Source organism: Homo sapiens, chromosome 8, assembly GCF_000001405.40.
Source record: "Homo sapiens chromosome 8, GRCh38.p14 Primary Assembly".
In the NCBI taxonomy this organism is placed as follows: Eukaryota; Metazoa; Chordata; class Mammalia; order Primates; family Hominidae; genus Homo; species Homo sapiens.
The window spans coordinates 66,927,738-66,946,464 of NC_000008.11; the positions used below are offsets into that span (position 1 = coordinate 66,927,738).

Consider the following 18,727-nt stretch of genomic DNA (forward strand, 5'->3'; position numbering starts at 1 on the left):
GGTTATCATCTTATGTCAGTTACTTTAATTAATAATGTCATTAAATGTATGTTTTCAACTGCAAGTAACAAAATATGCAACTAAAGTAGCTTCTGGAAAATGAGGAGTATATTATTCTATATTACAAGAAATCCAGAGGTAGATGGCTCTCGGGTTGATTGATTTAGCAGGAAAACACTGTCAGGGTTGCTGGTTGAATTCTCTGAGATTCTTGGTTTTCCCTTCATAGTTGCAAAAAGCCTCCCATAGCTGTAAACATCATATCTTTTTTCTTTTTTTTTTTTTTTTTGAGACAGTCTTGCTCTGTTGCCCAGGCTGGCGTGCAGTGGCAGGATCTTGGCTCACTGCAACCTCTACCTCCTGGGTTCAAGCTATTCTCCTGCCTCAGCCTCCAGAGTAGCTGGGATTACAGGTGCCTCCCGCCACACCCAGCTAATTTTTGTATTTTTAGTAGAGATGGGGTTTTATCATGTTGACCAGGCTGGTCTCGAACTCCTGACCTCAAGTGATCCACCTGCCCTGGCCTCCCAAAGTGCTGGGTTACAGGCGTGAGTCACTGCACCCAGCTATGTCTTCATATAACAACATTCAAAGGTGGGAAGGAGGGACATTTCACATGTTTCTCTTTTAACCAGGTTGGAAAATCTTCCCCAGAATGCCCACAGTAGACTTGTTTTCAGGTCTCACTGGCCTTGATTGGGTTACAAGTCCAGGCATTATCAGCTTATAATATGGGAAAGTGGACTCTGACAGAAAGGGAAGGGAGACGCCTGTTTGGTGGGCTGCTAATAGTGCCTGCACACAGGGGAAACTTTAAAGTGTGAGCGTATTGCTGTGAATCCATGAGCTCAGTTCTCATTACTATTCAAAGTGAGAGAAGATTACAAGGATATGATGAAAGATAGAGGAATTCTGACAAAGAATGGGTACAGATTTCCAGTTCCACTTCTGTTACAAAAGCAAAAATAGCTTTTCTTTAGCATAGCTTTATTGACATACAAAAACTGCACATATTGAAAATGAAAAATCAGATAAGTTTTGACATATGTGAAACCATCACCTGTGAAACCATCACCACATTCAAAATAATCAGCATATTCATCATCCCTAAACATTTCTTCATTCCCTAATCCAAAAGTCACCCTCACATCACTCCCCTCAACTGCACCAGGGAACCACTGATTTGTTTTCTGTCACTATAGATCAATTTGCTTTTTCTATAACTAGTTTAAATGAAATCATTCAGAATATACTTTATTTACAGTGTTATTGAGGTATTATTGACATACAAAAAACTGCACATATTTAATCTATACAATTTGATGGGCCAGTATGCACTGTGTTTTGGTCTGGCTGCTTTCACTCAGCATAATTATTTTGAGATTCATCCATGTGGTTGTGTGTTACAATAGTTAATTCCTTTTTATTGCTGAATGGTATTCCCTTATCTGAGTATACCACAATTTTTTTTTCTGTTTTTTGTTTGTTTGTTTGTTTTTTGAGACAGAGTCTCGCACTGTTGCCCAGGCTGGAGTGCAGTGGCAGGATCTCAGCTCACTGCAACCTCTGCCTCCTGGGTTTAAGCAATTCTCCTGCCTCAGCCTCCCGAGTAGCTGGGACTACAGGCGCCTGCCATGAAGCCTGGCTAATTTTTGTATTTTTAGTAGACATGGGGTTTCACCATGTTGTCCAGGCTGGGCTCAAACTCCTTGCCTCAAGTGATCCGCCTGCCTTGGCCTCCCGAAATGCTGGGATTACAGATGTGAGCCACTACACCAGGCCCCTGTCTTCTTCCTCTTCCTCTTCTCCTCCTCCTCTTCTTCCTCCTCCTCTTCTTCTTCCTCCTCCTCCACTTCCTCCTCCTCCTCTTCTTCCTCTTCCTCCTTCTCCTCTCTTCCTTCTCCTCTTCCTCTTCCTCTCTCTCTTTTTCTGTTGAAGCCTTTGTATTTTTTCGTCTCTATTGAAGACTTCCTTGACTTCCTCTCTTCTTTGAGTTCATTTCTTGAGTCTCCTCTTCCTATGCAAAACTTTTTTTCCTATAGTTTCTTGTTGGAAAAATGCAAAGTTTAATGTTCACTACTTTATGTTTTGCTGTTAGTAAAGGGATTTTTGGAATTTAGAACTCCCTTTTCCCTTTCGAGTCTATCATCTCCAAAAGGGCTTAAGAAAGTTAATCTAGAGACTCAGAGTTGCCTAGAAGCCTTGATTACTAGTGTCCATCATTTCCCATTGTACTTTTAAAATATTCACTTGTGTGTATGGCCAATTGATTTTTGGCATGGGTGCCAGTACCATCTATGTGGAAAGGACAGACTTTCCAACAAATGGTGCTGGGAAAACTGGATATCCAATGCAAAAAAATAAAACAAAATAAAATAAAGAAGTTGGACCTTTATCCGATATTATATTTTAAAAAAACTCAAAATGAATCAAAGACCTAAATTTAGGAGTTAAAACTATAAAATTCTACAAGAAAACATGGGGGACAATCTTCATGACACTGGATCTGGCAGTGATTTTTTGGCTATAACACCGAAAGCACAGGCAACAAAAGGAAAAATAAATTGTACTTCATCAAATTAAAAAATTTTGTGCATCAAGGGATACTGACAAGAGAGTGGCCAGGCTAGTCTCCAACTCCCGGCCTTAAGCGATCCTCTTGCCTTGCTTCCCAAAGTGCTGGGATTACAGGCATCAGCCACAGCACCTGGCCAATCTCTCCTTTAAAAACTGGAAATCTAAGAAACAAATACAAAATCCAGTACAAAATTTCAATTTGCCTTAAGTAACATAGAGCATGAATATCTAAGCCTAGCAAAACAAATTGTAATTTTTGTTCTTCATATATTCCAAATATTTTCTCCTAATCTGTGGATGGTATGTATTTAATAACACTGAACCATACACTTAAAATTGGTTAAGATAGTAAATTTTGTTACATGTATTTTACTACAATAAGCAATTTTTTTTTTTTTTTGAGATGGAGTCTCACTCTGTCGCCCAGGCTAGAGTGCAGTGGTGTGATCTCAGCTCACTGCAAGCTCCACCTCCTGGATTCAAGCGATTCTCCTGCCTCAGCCTCCCAAGTGGCCAGGATTACAGGTGCCTGCCACCACTGCCTGGCTAATTTTTGTATTTTTAGTAGAGACAGGATTTCACCATGTTGGCCAGGCTGGTCTCAGACTCCTGACCCACCTCAGCCTCCCAAAGTGCTGGAATTACAGGCGTGAGCCACCACATCTGGCCTACAATAAATAATTTTTAAAAAGACATTTTAAAAAGGAAAAAAATCCACCTATCTTCACATGGCTTATCTCATTTTCTGCTTCTCCTTTCTGGTGATGCTCCAGTCACCATGGCCTACTCTTAGTTCTTGGAACATGTCAAATAATTTTCACATCCTAAGGCCTTTACTGTTGCCTGGAATTCTCTTGTCCCAGATTTTTGAGTGGCTGACTTCTTTCCTTTTTTTAATCTCAATTTTAATGTCAACTTCTCAGAGAGGCCACATTTCCCCTACCTGTCTAAAGTGGGCCAACTCCAACACATCTCCCTTTTAATTTCCTTCATTAACACTTAGCATAGGCCGGGCGCGGTAGCTCACGCCTGTAATCCCAGCACTTTGGGAGGCCGAGGCGGGCGGATCACCTGAGGTCGGGAGTTCGAGATCAGCCTGATCAACATGGAGAAACCTTGTCTCTACTAAAAATACAAAAATTTAGCCAGGCGTGGTGGCGCATGCCTGTAATTCCAGCTACTCGGGAGGCTGAGGCAGGAGAATTTCTTGAACCATTGCACTCCAGCCTGGGCAACAAGAGTGAAACTCTGTCAAAAAAAAAAAACACTTAGCATAATCTGCAATTTTCTTATTTATTTACTTACATACTTTTACACCCTCACTGCATATAAATCCTGTAAGAGGAAAGTTCTTGTCTTATTCACCTTTTTATTCCTGGCACCTAATACAGTCCCTAGCACTTAATAAATATTTGTTGAATGAATAAATAAATGAATCACACATATGTGCTGATTTGGAAAAATTTTCAAGATATTTAAAAATTTTAAAGCTAGGTGCAGAAGGTATTTGGAAAGACTACATTTTTGGTTAGATTTAAAAAATGCAGGGCGGGAGGGAGGATCACTTGAGCCTAGGAGTTCAAGACCAGCTGAGCCACATAAGGAGACCCGGTATCTACAAAAAATAAAAAAATTATCTGGGTGTGGTGGTACGTGCCTGGTGGTATAGTTGCAGCTACATAGAGTCTGAGGTGGGAGGATAGCTTGAACCCAGAACATCGAGGCTGCAGTGAATCTGATCTCACCACTGCACTCCAGCCTTGGTGACAGAGTGAGACCCTGTCTCACAAAAAAAAAAAAAAGAAAAGAAAAAGAAAAAAGAAGCATATATATGATTGTTAATGCATAGGACTTTTCTTTAAGAGACTACAAAAGCACCTGTTTGTGGCTGGGCATGGTGGCTCCCACCTGTAATCCCAACACTTTTGGAGGCCAAGGCCGGTGGATTGCTCAAGCCTAGGAGTTCCAGACCAGCCTGGGCAACATTGTGAAACCCTGTCTCTACAAAAGAAATACAAAAAAATTAGCCAGGTGTGATGGCACGTGCCTGTAGTCCCAGCTACTTGGGAGGCTGAGGCACGAGAATCACTTGAGCCCAGGAGGTGGAGGATGCAGTGAGCTGAGATCGCACCACTGTACTCCAGTCTGGATGACAGACCAATACTCTGTCTCAAACAAACAAGAAAACAAAAAATAACCTGTTTGTAATTTTATAATTAATGCCTCTAGGAGTGAAACTTGGGTTTGTGGGGAGAGTGATCTTTTTATTTTTTATTATATCATTCTTTCCTATTTGGATTTTTATTATGCATATGTATTGATTTTGTAATTAAATTAAATTGAAAAATACTATTAAAGTAGTACATTTTCTCTGCAGGGTGCAAAAATAGACCATTTCTAAGATTTGCCCCATCAGTCCATTATTTCTTCATCCTGAGTGGCATTATAAAAAGGGTTCAGCATTTTCCAGCAATGAGTGCCTCCCTGGGGGTCGCTGGTCTCTAAGTTGCTGAACTGAGCTAATGCTGACAATTGCAAATACAACTAAAACCACTTCAAGGGGAAAGTTTCATGGTTTAAATGTGATATAGTTAGTTTATCAAAAGTAACTTTTAAAAAATAGCGCTTCTTTGATAATATAATCATGATTACCTTAGGAAGTTTACGTTTTGTAGATAGACATACATGTCGATTCAGGGACATATAGGGTATTATTTTTTATGGGCTGTCATAATCTATAGTCTGCACTTACATATGTGAATCTCATTAGTAATTTAATACATTTGGCCCTCGGCCCTTTTTCATATTAGTGAATGATTTAGAGAGCCTCCCATGTCCCCTAGATGTTTGCAGCAGAAGATGGGGTTGGAACTGGTAGGAAGTTGGCTGTAATAACCACATCCTTGTGCTTTTCCTTGCTCAATAGTAAGCATGTCAAAATAGAGTTAATCCAAGAGAAATGTAAATGACCCTAGTCATAAATGCATGACTTTTCTATATAAGATTCTTTTACCTCAAGCAGAATTATTTTTAAACATAATATTGACATTGAGATAATCATAGTATTTATACCTCTCGTCAAGGTTAAAGTTCCAAATCTGTGGAAAAATACATTAAATTGTCAGAAACTAGGGCACTGATCTAAATGAAAATTGATTCTTAAAACTTGAAATATATGAACTTTACTGAGATAATTTTGGTGAAAATTAACTAAATTACTTATACTTATGATTTCTGCCAGGATCCAAAATAATGAGGTAGCCACAGTGGCTTTAATTGTCAATGTGAGACACTAGTGTTTTCCTTTTCTGTTTAAACATCTAAATTTTACGTTATGAATAAACTTTGCAAATAACTACTTAAATACTACAAATTCTGAATGCAAAGGAATGTTTTAAAATTATTCAAGCTGGCCAATGAGACCTGATGGGAAGTCTGCTAGGGAACTTGAGGGAAGGTTTTCTTCTGTGATGAAGAGACACATATGGGAAGAAATGCCTCTTCTTCCCATTAATATTCTCATCTAGACACTGAAAGAACACCTGGCCCTGCTGCAAATGTCTTGTTAAATGAGGGGAGTTTATCTGAGATGGCAAAGTGGAAAAGAGAAGGAGCCCAGCAACATAAAGACATCTAATAGTCACCAAATTAAATAGAATGAACTAGCCAGGGAGCCACTCCAGCGTAGGCTTCTTGTTACGTAAAATAATAATTTTTTTTAACTCTTAAAAAAGTATTCAAGAATGATTACACAGAGAGTCCAGAATGTGGAAGTAATTGAAACATTCAAACTAAGGTTAAATTATGTTATTCACACCTCAGCGATAATATAATATAAATTATGTCCTGAAATTAACATCCCATTAAAGCTTTCAACAAATTACTATAAGGAATCAGCAACCCTTTTCTGAAATTTTACCGGCTTCACTTTTTTTTTTTTTTTTTTTTTTTTGAGACGGAGTCTCGCTCTGTCGCCCAGGCTGGAGTGCAGTGCAGTGGCACAATCTCGGCTCACTGCAACCTCCACCTCCCGGGTTCAAGCAATTCTCCTGCCTCAGCCTCCCGAGTAGCTGGGACTACAGGGTTGTGCCACCACGGCCGGCTAATTTTTCTATTTTTAGTAGAGGCGGGGTTTCACTGTGTTGGCCAGGTTGGTTTCGAATTCCTGACCTCATGATCTGCCCACCTTGGCCTCCCAAAGTGTTGGGATTACTGGCTTGAGCCACGTGCCTGGCCACCATCTCATTTTTAAGGGACAATAAGTATGCTGTTCTCAAAAGTCTCCAGGGGAAAAAAATAATGATCGACAAGGAAGATATTAACTGGAAGGAACAGTTAACTAGAGGGCATAATGTTGCAATTGCAGCCAGGTAGAAAACTGATTTGAATATCCTTCACGTGTGTGTGTATTTACATACATGTTCTTGTGTGTTACATACATATATGTCAGAGATTCCTGTGCCCCAAAAGACAAAAGTCACCTTTTAGAGAGTGTCATCCTTCTGTGTGTATGAGCCCTCTCCCAGGAACCTGGAAACTTTGGTCCACTGGTGAGGTTACACATGGACATGGGCTCCCTACCCCCTTGATAACCACACAGGACACAAAAACAGCAAGGCCCTGTTTAAAGAAAATGAATGACTATCTTCCATTTTGCAACAACCATCATCTATAAATCTTGTAGTTCTTCAAACAAAGAACATTTTCTCATGTGGATAAGCCTTTACTCTCTGGCTAGCTGCTATACCTTATCTAGGGCCTCCACCCCACCAACCCCCCCCCCCACCCTCCCCCTCGCCAAGGTGGGGTATCTTGGAGCAGAGGTGCTTAGAGACGATAGGTGGATTCAAACACTCCCTGATTTGTTTGTGGTGGGTTAAGTAAGTGAAGTTTTGTCTAAAAACTTGGGGTCACCAGAAAGGAAGTTACAGTCTGGCCCGTGGGCATGACTTCTTCCAGACCCCTCAGGAAGAAATTTAGAACAAAGAACGGAGGTCAGATTTCAGTCCTTAGTTCCCCCGCATCTGAGGTCTACATGCCAGCAGATCCACCTGGTGGGGGTCCAGGTTTCTGAAAACAACTCAGATACATGTGCTAAGATGTTGAGACCTATAATTCCAGCTACTCGGTAGGCTGAAGACAGAGGATCGCCTGGGCCCAGGAGGTCGAGGCTGCAGTGAGCCATGATAGTGCCACTGCACAAAGTGAGACCCTTTGCACAAAGTGAGCTACCATGCCCGGCAAAGTATCATGTTTTTGTATTTTTAAAAATTGATGTATGGGATTCTAATCTTTTCTCTTTCTTTCTTTCTTTTTGTTTTTATGGAGTCTCACTCTGTCACCCAGGCTGGAATGCAGTGGTGCGATCTCGGCTCATTGCAACCTGCACCTCCTGGGTTTAAACGATTCAGCGATTCTCATGCCTCAGCCTCCCCAGTAGCTGGGATAACACGCCCCCACCCCCAAGCCCGGCTTATTTTTGTATTATTAGTAGAGACAGGGTTTCACCATGTTGGCCAGGCTGGTCTCGAACTCCTGACCTCAAGTGATCCACCTGCCTCGGCCTCCCAAAGTGCTGGAATTACAGGCATGAGCCACTGCGCCTGGCCTGATACTGATCTTTTATCAATTAACAGATATACATTGCAAATAACTTCTCCTGGTCTGTTTTGTTTTTTAGTAGGTTTATGGAGTTTCATGTTCTTGGGAAGTCTGTGCTTCCCAGGAGCTCCCCAGCACCCAACACCTCAGCATTTCTATAGAAGATTTCTGGTAACCCTTACGTCCAAATCCTTTAACATGCCTTTCAAGGTCCTCGTTGATTTGAAAATTGGAAGTAATACAGTACTTATTCCGAGGATTTTGTGGGTTAAATGAAATAATATATATGAAGAATCCACCCCCCTCCTCAATGCACTTTCCTTCGAAGTATCATGTTTTACTTGCCTGCTTTTTCCTCAGTCTAGAGGTTTCTTTTCCTTTCTTTTTTTTTTTTTTTTTTTTTTTGAGACAAGTCTCACTCTGTCGCTAAGGCTAGAGTGCAGTGGCACCGTGTCAGCTCACTGCAACCTCCGTCTCCTGGGTTCAAGCAATTCTCCTGCCTCAGCCTCCTGAGTAGCTGGGATTACAGGCGCCCACCACCACGCCCAGCTAGTTTTTATATTTTTAGTAGAGACGGGATTTCACCATGTTGGCCAGGCTGGTCTCGAACTCCTGACCTCAGGTGATCCACCCACCTCGGCCTCCCAAAGTGCTGAGATTACAGGCGTGAGCCACTGTGCCCAGCCTAGAAGGTTCTTTTCATCCCTCTTTGCCTTCCTTGATCTCTTACAACTGAGTTAGTTGCCCCTGGCAGACACTTTTTGTTTTGTTTTGTTTTGTTTTGTGTTTAGAGATGGGTTCTCACTTTGTTGCCCAGGCTGGATTCAAACTCCTGGGCTCAACAGTTTGAGCCTCCTGTTTCAGCCTCTCTCACATTCGGTCCATAGCATCCAGAAATAGTGTTTAACCAGTGATCTGAGCGTCCCTTGGCCCAATCAATATGACGCAAAAAATTAACCATCATGTATGTCTAGCAAGGGCAGCATGCTTCTGGAGTCAGCCACTGTAAGGCAGCTTCCTGTTTGGCAAGCAGAGTTCAGATCATGGCAGAAGTATCAGCTACCTTGGCAGCCCAGTTCCATGGAATGGATTTAGAAATTGTTACTATAAATCCAGCCCAGGTTAGTTTCATCTCATGATTCTGTAAGTCACTAATAACCTATAAGCTTCCTTCCTCTCCTCTCCTCCCCTCCCCTCTCCTCTCCCTCTTTCTCTCTCTCTTTCTTTCTCTCCCTTTCTTTTCCCTCCCTCCCTCCCTCCCTTCCTTGCTTCCTTCCTTTCTTTCTCTCTCTCCTTTTCTTTTCTTTTTTCTTTTTTTTTTTTTTTTGAGACAGGGTCTTGCTCTGTCACCCAGGCTGGTGTGGTGGCTCAATCACAGCTCGCTCAGCCTCATCACCCTGGTAAGCCCCTTTCTTTTTAAACTAGCTAAAGCAGATACTGCAGCCAAACTCAAACTGATATACCTTCCTTACACATGGAGGTGACTTTATGACCCAGTTCTGGCCGATAAAAAATAAGTGGAAGCAGCCAGGCGCAGTGGCTCACGCCTGTAATCCCAGCACTTTGGGAGGTGGAGGCAGGTGGATCACAAGGTCAGGAGATCAAGACCATCCTGGCTAACATGGTGAAACCCTGTCTCTACTAAAAATACAAAAACTTAGCCAGGTGTGGTGGTGGGCACCTGTAGTCCCAGCTACTTGAGAGGCTGAGGCAGGAGAATGGTGTGAACCCGGGAGGCAGAGCTTGCAGTGAGCTGAGATCACCCACTGCACTCCAGCCTGGGCGACAGAGCGAGACTCTGTCGCCAAAAAAAAAAAAAAAAAAAGTAAGTGGAAGCTTTGATTACACTAAGCCACCTTACCAGTCCTGGACTGCCTACTTATGGATTTCTTTTCTTTGCTTTCTTTTTTTCCTTTTTCTTTTTTTTTGAGACAGAGTCTCACTCTGTCACCCAGGCTGGAGTGCAGTGGGCCATCTCAGCTCACTGCAATCTCTGCCTCCCTGGTTCAAGCGATTCTCCTGTCTCAGCCTCCCAAGTAGCTGGGACTATAGGCGCCCACCAAGCCCGGCTAATTTTTTTTTGTATTTTTAGTAGAGATGGAGTTTCACTGTGTTGGCCAGGCTGGTCTTGAACTCCTGACCTCGTGATCTGCCCGCCTCAGCCTCCCAAAGTGCTGGGATTACAGGCGTGAGACCCCAGCACCCGGCCTGGATTTCTTTTAGAGAATAAATTTTTAATTTACTAAAGCCACTATAGTTGGGTCTTTCTTATTAGCAGCTGAATGCAATTCCTAACTAATCTAGTAAGCAATGAACAATGCCTGCCGTAGCATTAAAAAAACATTTGTGGGCCAGGCATGGTGGCTCACGCCTGTAATCCCAGCACTTTGGGAGGACGAGGCGGGTGGATCACGAGGTCAGGAGATCGAGACCATCCTGGCTAACACGGTGAAACCCCGTCTCTACTAAAAATACAAAAAATTAGCCGGGCGTGGTGGCGGGCGCCTATAGTCCCAGCTACTCGGGAGGCTGAGGCAGGAGAATGGCGTGAACCCGGGAGGCAGAGCTTGCAGTGAGCCGAGATCGAGCCACTGCACTCCAGCCTGGGCGACAGAGTGAGACTCTATCTCAAAAAATAAATAAATAAAATAAAAAAATAAAAAAATTTGTGGACCAACTGATGATTGATGAACAAAGGCACTGAAGCGTGAAATAGCTGTGTGTGTGTGTGCACATGTGTTTACTAATAACTAAAATGTAAAATAGGAAGTGGTGGAGGGCAGTGACATAGGAAGAGGGTTCATAAATCAAGTTAAGGGGTTAGACTTCATCCTTAGATCATGGGATACCACTGAAGGGATTTGAGCAAGTATGTTATATCTTCAGGTTTGCATTTTTTGATAGGTTACTTGGGTGCAGCCAATACTGAAGGCTGGGGAAACTGTCAAGGCTACAAATTATAAGGTAAAAATGATGAATACCTGCAATAATTATTCTTACATACATTTACAAATGTAAGTATATCAATAGGGATTTTTGTTTGTTTTTTGTTTTTTGAGAGGGAGTCTTGCTCCACCGCCCAGGCTGGAGTGCAGTGCCTCAATCTTGGCTTACTGCAACCTCCGCCTCCCAGGTTCAAGCGATTCTCCTGCCTCAGCCTCTTGAGTAGCTGAAATTACAGGCACATGCCACCACGCCTGGCTAATTTTTGTGTTTTTAGTAGAGACGGGGTTTCACCATCTTGGCCAGGCTTGTTTCGAATTCCTGACCTCATGATCCACCCGCCTTGTTTCCCAAAGTTCTGGGATTACAGGTGTGAGCCACTGCACTCGGCCTGGTAGGGAAATTTTTTAACATGGCATTGCTAAGTCAGAGTGTGTATACTTATAATAGTGGGAGATACTGTCAAATTACATTTAAAAGAGGTTATGCTTCCAACAGTACAAAAGTCCTCATTTCCTCACCTTCACTAATGATGAGTATTTTTTGTATCATTGACAGGTGAAATATGTTCTTCCATTGCTTTCTAAATGTGTGTTTCTTAATTATGCCTGAACTTGTGTATCTTTTCATAAATATATTGGCTGGTTTCTTTTTTTTTTTTTTCCTGAAACAGATTCTCATTCTATTGCCCAGGCTGGAGCGCAGCGGGACAATCTCGGCTCACTGCAACCTCCACCTCGTGGGTTCAAGTGATTCTCCTGCCTCAGCCTGCTGAGTAGCTGGGATTACAGAAGCCTGCCACCATGCATGGCTAATTTTTGTATTATTAGTAGCGACGGGGTTTCACCATGTTGGCCAGGCTGGTCACGAACTCCTGACCTCAAGTGATCCGCCCACCTCAGCCTCCCAAAGTGCTGGGATTACAGGCGTGAGCCACCGTGCCCGGCCCTGTTTGGTTTCTTTCTATGAACTGCTGTTTGTTACCATTTGTGGAAGTTTCTCTTTTTTATTTTTTTTTGTGGGGGTAGGGGGACAGAGTCTCGCTCTGTTGCCTAGGCTGGAGTGCAGGGGCTCGGTCTTTGCTCCCATTTGTGCAAGTTTCCACTAAGTTGTTGGTGTTTTGCTTTTTTGAAATCTGAGAACTGATTTTATGTAAAGAGATTTACTGCTTTATCATGTGTTGTGATTTTTTTCCTCTGGCTTGTGTTTTGTCTTTTGACCTTGTCTTTTGTTTTGTGAATTTATTTTTATGTAGTCAAAATTAGCCATCTTTCCCTTTAAGGCAGCTTGCGGGTTTTTGTGTCACGCTTCACCTTACATGTTTAACTCTTCATCAAATGGAGCTAATGAGCCAGGGAAGACACACCTAGCTTGCACTGAGCTGCCTACATGCACTTTCTCAGCTATTATTTCATATCAACTTTGTGAGCTAAGGGGAAGAGGGCAAAAGGCAAGGGAAATGTATTGAGAACAAACCCTATACCAAGTGCTTACCACAGTGAGAGACCTGCAGCAAAGGACAGTGTTTTCCAACCAAACTAGGGGTGCAAACTCAAGTGCTTTAAGCATCCAGGCACTAACGGAGTAGGTAGTCTAGGACAGGAACCAGGCTCTCGGAGCCATACTGTCTGGGCCTGAATCTGGCCTCTGATTAGCTGGACAACGCTGGGCAAGTTTCTCAAGACTCTTTCCTAATCCATTTGCAAAGGTCCAGGAAGGTCCTCAGTACCAACACAGTCATTTTGGTGTGTTCTAAACTATAAGGTCAAATAAGTTGGAATACTGAGCAATTAGGTGTAAACTGTTGATGCAGATAGTCCATCTCTACTGTATAATTGGGTTAAAATGTCCATACCATGACTGGAATGTGAGGAAAATAACGTAGCTTTATGTCCTGTATCCAACCTCATCTTGTTCTAGAATCCTCACTCCTGAAGAGGAAAACTGCCAAACAGATCCCTTTTGATGTTAGTCTCTGTTCATTAAATATTCAGCCAAGTAAAAGTTGAAGCTCTATCAGTGCTGTTTACACTCAATGGGCTTCCTGCCTGTCCTTCTCCATTCATCCCTAGATGGCTTCAGGGAGCAGTTGTGAATCAAAAGGACATGGAGGGAGGGACTGCAGGCTCCCATGCTGTCTGTCCTCTGGGTCTAGACTGCACTCTGACATAGTGTGTCTGTCACTACCTGGTCCCTCAGGGTCATGCTGGCATCCACTGCTGAGATCCTGCATCCTGCTTACAATGTCCCCTTTTGGGGGCCCTGTACTCTGCGGCCTCCTGTGTCCTGGCATCCTGGCCTGAGTACTCTCAGCAGCTTGTGACCTGTGGCAGCCTGCGGTGTGGGGCTGCCCTCAGGACCCTCCCTCAGCCATTGCTCATCTTGCCTGCCCAGGGTGTGGCTCTGGGCAGAATCTAGGGCTTTGTTGGGCTTTGTCTAGAGAACTGTGGCAAGGTCAGCCCTTGTCTCCAATTTTTCACTACCCCACACTTCCCTATTTTTCTCAAGATGGACACCAGTGGAGGTTGACACCTCCACTACCTCTCAGTGCCTTGGCCTCCCTTCCCTGTTAGCACCTTTAGTAAAACTCCATTTATAGACCTCCAATCTTGGCGCTTATACATAGAGGGCAGCTTTTGGAACTTAAAATTCCATTTTCTCTCTTCATAAAGTCTGAAATTTAAGTCTATTATCTTGCTTGCTAGGGACTCTCAAAGTTATTTTTGCATTTTCTTTTTTTTTGAGACAGTTTTGCTCTCATCACCCAGGCTGGAGGGCAATGGTGCTATCTCCACTCACTGCAATCTCCACCTCCTGGGTTCAAGCGATTCTCCAGCCTCAGCTTCCCAAGTAGCTGGGATTATAGGCGCCTGCCACCACGCCCAGCTAATTTTTGTATTTCTAGTAGAGATGGGGTTTCACCATGTTGGCCAAGCTGGTTTCGAACTCCTGACCTCAGGAGATCCACCCACCGCGGCCTCCCAAAGTACTGGGATTACAGGCACGAACCACTGCGCCCAGTCTATTTTTGCATTTTCAAAGGCGTACAGAGGCGTACAGTGACTTCATTCTAGGAGGAATCTGCCCTTAACCAAGAGGGCCTTAAGTCAATGAGTTAGGGAGGCTGAGGGCCACAGATCAGTTTAGTAATGAAAAATATATTATCTCCTCCCTCCTCTAAACTGCTGCATGCCCTAAGGATATTTACTAATGTGAGAGTCCCTAACTCAGCTGGGTGCGGTGGCTCACGCCTGTAATTCCAGCACTTTGGGAGGTCGAAGTATGTGGATCACTTGAGGTCAGGAGTTTGAGACCAGCCTGGCCAACATGGTGAAACCCCGTCTCTACTAATAATACAAAAATTAGCCAGGTTTGGTGGTGCGAGCCTGTAATCCCAGTACTCAGGAGGCTGAGGCAGGAGAATCACTTTAACCTGGGAGGCAGAGGTTGCAGTGAGTCCAGATTGTGCCACTGCACTTCAGCCTGGGTGACAAGAGTAAAACTGTTTCTCAAAAAAAAAAAAAAAAAAAAAAAAAAAAAAGTCCCCAACTCATCGCCTATTAAGAAGTAGAAGCTAAGTCTTTTGGTACGATCTATTTCTTCTTCAACCTCTTCTTACCTCCCCTTTCCCCCTTCCTCAAGTTTGATTAAACCTCTATCTTGAAAAATAATGGGAGGCTGAGGCAGGAGAATGGCATGAACCCGGGAGGCAGAGCTTGCAGTGAGCCGAGATCGAGCCACTGCACTCCAGCCTGGGCAACAGAGCGAGACTCCGTTCTCAAAAAAAAAAAAAAAAGAAAGAAAAATAAGCTCTTACCTCCCACCACTGAACCATACTGTCCATTCCTGCAAGAAGCTCTATTTCCTGTCAACAAAGAAAAGGAATGTGCTAATGTAAGCAAAGTGTGTATCCCTAGAGTAGCCACAAGTCTGGGTGGGCTCACATAGGTTAGGGGAAGAGGAGAGACCAGTAGTCATTGCTTATGGCAAGTTTTCTGTCTTCTGTTAAGCCATCTCCACTACCACCATCACCCTAGACATTGTCCAGTGTCCAGTCTCTGGCACTGGCTGGCTGGAGAGGAAAACAAGACCACCTGGGCCCAGTCTTCATTACACCAGGTGTGGCTGCTCTCTGGATCTCTCAGACCGAGTGTGGCTCAGCACTGGCAGCTTTAGTTGTTCTGGTCTGGTTCTAAAGTCAGGTCTCCTCTTTGAGGCAGTCTCTCCTGTGTGTCCCTATAACCACACACTATAGCAGGACTGGACACTGGTGGAACTGGCCTCTTCTTTCTAAATGGGGGATCTGAAAATAGCTTCACACCTTTCCTCCTCTCTTGACTCGCCTGCCTCTGCCATTGCATACCATTATTTTTACTTGATTGTAGCCCATGTTTCAAGATGACTCTGGTACAGGGTCTTATGGCCGCAAGGTGGTACAGATGTTCTACACACAGAGTAGGGACACTCTTGCACAGGCCTACTTTTTAAAAATACAGCTTAATTAAAATTTTTTTTTTTTTTTTTCCTGAGACAGGGTCTTACTGTCTCCTAGGCTGGAGTGCAGTGCCACAATGATGGCTCACTGCAGCCTCCACCTCCTGGGCTCAAGCAATCCTCCTACTTTAATCTCCTGAGTAGCTGGGACCACAGGCACACGCCACCATGCCTGGCTAATTTTTTAATTTTTTTGTAAAGACGGGTTCTCACTACATTGTCCAGGCTGGTCTTGAACTCCTGGGCTCAAGTGATCCTTCCATCTCAGCCTCCCAAAGTGCTGGGATTACAGGCATGAGCCACTGCACCTGGCCTTAAAAAATTTTTTGTTCCACATCATATATCCATCTACATAAACAATTAAGCTACTTTGGCCAGGTGCAGTGGTTCACGCCTGTAATCCCAGCACTTTGGGAGGCTGAGGTGAGCAGATCACTTGAGGTCAGGAGTTCGAGACCAGTCTGGCCAACATGGTGAAACCCTATCTCTACTAAAAACACAAAAATTAGCTGGGTATGGTGGCAGGTGCCTGTAGTCCCAGCCACTCAGGAGGCTGAAGCAAAAGAATTGCTTGACCCCGGGAGGCAGAGGTTGCAATGAGCCAAGATGGTGCCACTGCACTCCAGCCTGGGCAACAGAGGGAACTCTGTCTCAAAAAAACAAAAATGGAATTAAGAAACCTTATAATAGCAAACATTTAACATTTTTAAGTTAGTGATTTCAGAGTCTATCTGAAAATAAAAATGGTTAAAATAAATTTTTCTTTAGACATCACATTGCTTGAAATGGCCCCCAGTTTCTAATGGCTAAAAAAACTGAAGATGAGTGATTGAAGTTCATCCCTGGGACATACTTCTTGGCCCTGGGAGGGAAGGAATGCATGAGATTCTTTAGTAACATTCATATGCACAAGAAATGACTACTGACATAATCTTTAATAGTTAGGATTATTCTTCAGTTTATTATTTAAAACCTTATGACAGCTAAAATGCTAAGGTATAATTTATAATGAAAGCATTTGAGTGATTGAGGTATATTTCACTGAGCTGGTTTGTCTTATGAGTTGAAATTAAGACTTGTATAAACATAAAAAGGGAAATCTTTCCCAGGTTTATGTAGTTAGGTAAGAATACTTAATGTCCCTCATTCCCAACTGTGCTGCAGTGCCATCTGTGCAGTGCTCAGAGTCTATAGGCAGCAAATCTACAGGATTTAAGCGACATTTATTTTTCAGTACAACAGCTGCATATAAGACCACCAGCTAGCATCACATAACAAAAGTACATATTATCTTTGAGATACACAACTTTACAGTATTTTCCTAGTGCTTTTAAAATTTTACAATCTTAGCTTTTGAGTTCTTTTAAAATGACAGTAACAAAAACAAAATGAAAAAATCAAAAGTGCATGTATCAGAGAAAAACAGCAATACTATAGTGTGTCTTACATCATCTGGGAAATTAGGTAATCAATCACATCCTCCAGCCATAATAGGCTGGAGTGCAGTGGCATGATTATGGTTCATTGCAGCCTCAATCTCCCAGGCTCAGGCAATCCTCTCACCTCAGCCTCCTGAGTAGCTGGCACTACAGGCACACACACCAAGCCCTGCTATTTTTTTTTTTGTATTTTTAGTAGAGAAGGAAGGGGTTTCACCGTGTTGCCCAGGCTGGTCTCGACCTTCTGACCTCAAGTGATCCTCCCACCCTGGCTTCCTAAAGTGCTGGGATTACAGGCATGAGCCACCTCGCCCGGCCACCAGCAATGATTTAAAAAAACTCAGCCGGACGCGGTGGCTGACGCCTGTAATCCCAGCACTTTGGGAGGCTGAGGTGGGTGGATCACGAGGTCAGGAGACCAAGACCATCCTGGTTAACATGGTGAAACCCCGTCTCTACTAAAAATACAAAAAAATCAGCTGGGTGTGGCTGCGGGCACCTGTAGTCCCAGCTACTTGGGAGGCTGAGGCAGGAGAATGGTGTGAACCCCGGAGGCGGAGCTTGCAGTGAGCCGAGATCATGCCACCGCACTCCAGCCTGGGCGACAGAGCGAGACTGTCTCAAAAACCAAAACAAAACAAAAAACAAAAACCTCATTAATTTGTCACCAGGTTAAGACAGAATCTGCTAGTGCTAGAGGAGTCAAAGTTCCTAGCTTTTCAAATAAAATACACAATTGATATAATTTGCAGTAACCCACACATAGTAAGAAAAGAGCATTTAGATTAAGCCATCTCTCAAAATATCTAATATATAAATTGAGATCAGAAGCAGTCTGATTTGTGGTTTCTTCTCCCTGCCAGCTAATAAGAACAATACAATTATACATGGAGCCAACAAGCCACTTGTCTTATCATGTCATGATAACAAATATAAATCACGTGTTCATTTCTAAGTGAATCATGTTGGCCACTGTAAAGAGATGTTTTGTATTAGATTATTTCCTCAGTGGTGGCTCATGCCTGTAATCCCAGCTGTTTGGGAGGCTGAGGTGGGTGGATCACTTGAGGCCAGGAGTTTGAGAACAGCCTGGGCAACATGACAAAACCCCATCTCTACCCAAAATACAAAAATTAGCTGGGCATGGTGGCGCGCCTCTGTAATCCCAGCTACTTGGGAGGCTGAGGCAGGAGAATCGCTTGAACCTGGGAGGTGGAGATTGAAGTGAGCTGAGATCTCGCCACTGCACTCCAGCCTGGGCAGCAGAGTGAGACTCCATCTCGAAAAACAACAGAGGCTGGGTGCCGTGGCTCGTGCCTGTAATCCCAGCACTTTGGGAGGCCGAGGCAGGCGGATCAGTTGAGGTCAGGAGTTTGAGACCAGCCTGGCCAACATGGTGAAACCCTGTCTCCTACTAAAAATACAAAAGTTAGGTAGGCATGGTGGTACATGCCTGTAGTCCCACTTACTCAGGAGGCTGAGACACGAGAATCGCTTGAACCCAAGAGGTGGAGGTTGCAGTGAGTGGAGATTGTGCCACTGTACTCTAGCCTGCGAAACAGAGTGAGACTCTGTCTCAAAAAAAAAAAAAAAAAAGCGCGGTAAAAAAGAAGCTAACACCAAGTAGGTATCTATCGTCTAAAAAGATTTTCAAAAGTAGCTTCGGTGTTTGT

At 43.4% G+C, this 18,727-nt stretch overlaps 1 annotated feature.

Moving 5' to 3' along the window:
• Positions 12,959 to 13,460: an enhancer, noted in NCBI's record as "H3K4me1 hESC enhancer chr8:67852931-67853432 (GRCh37/hg19 assembly coordinates)". NCBI's record gives its function as "activates a minimal SCP1, AML or CMV promoter by ChIP-STARR-seq in naive H9 embryonic stem cells {active_cell/tissue: H9 hESC(naive)}" and the evidence as "EXISTENCE:reporter gene assay evidence [ECO:0000049][PMID:30033119]".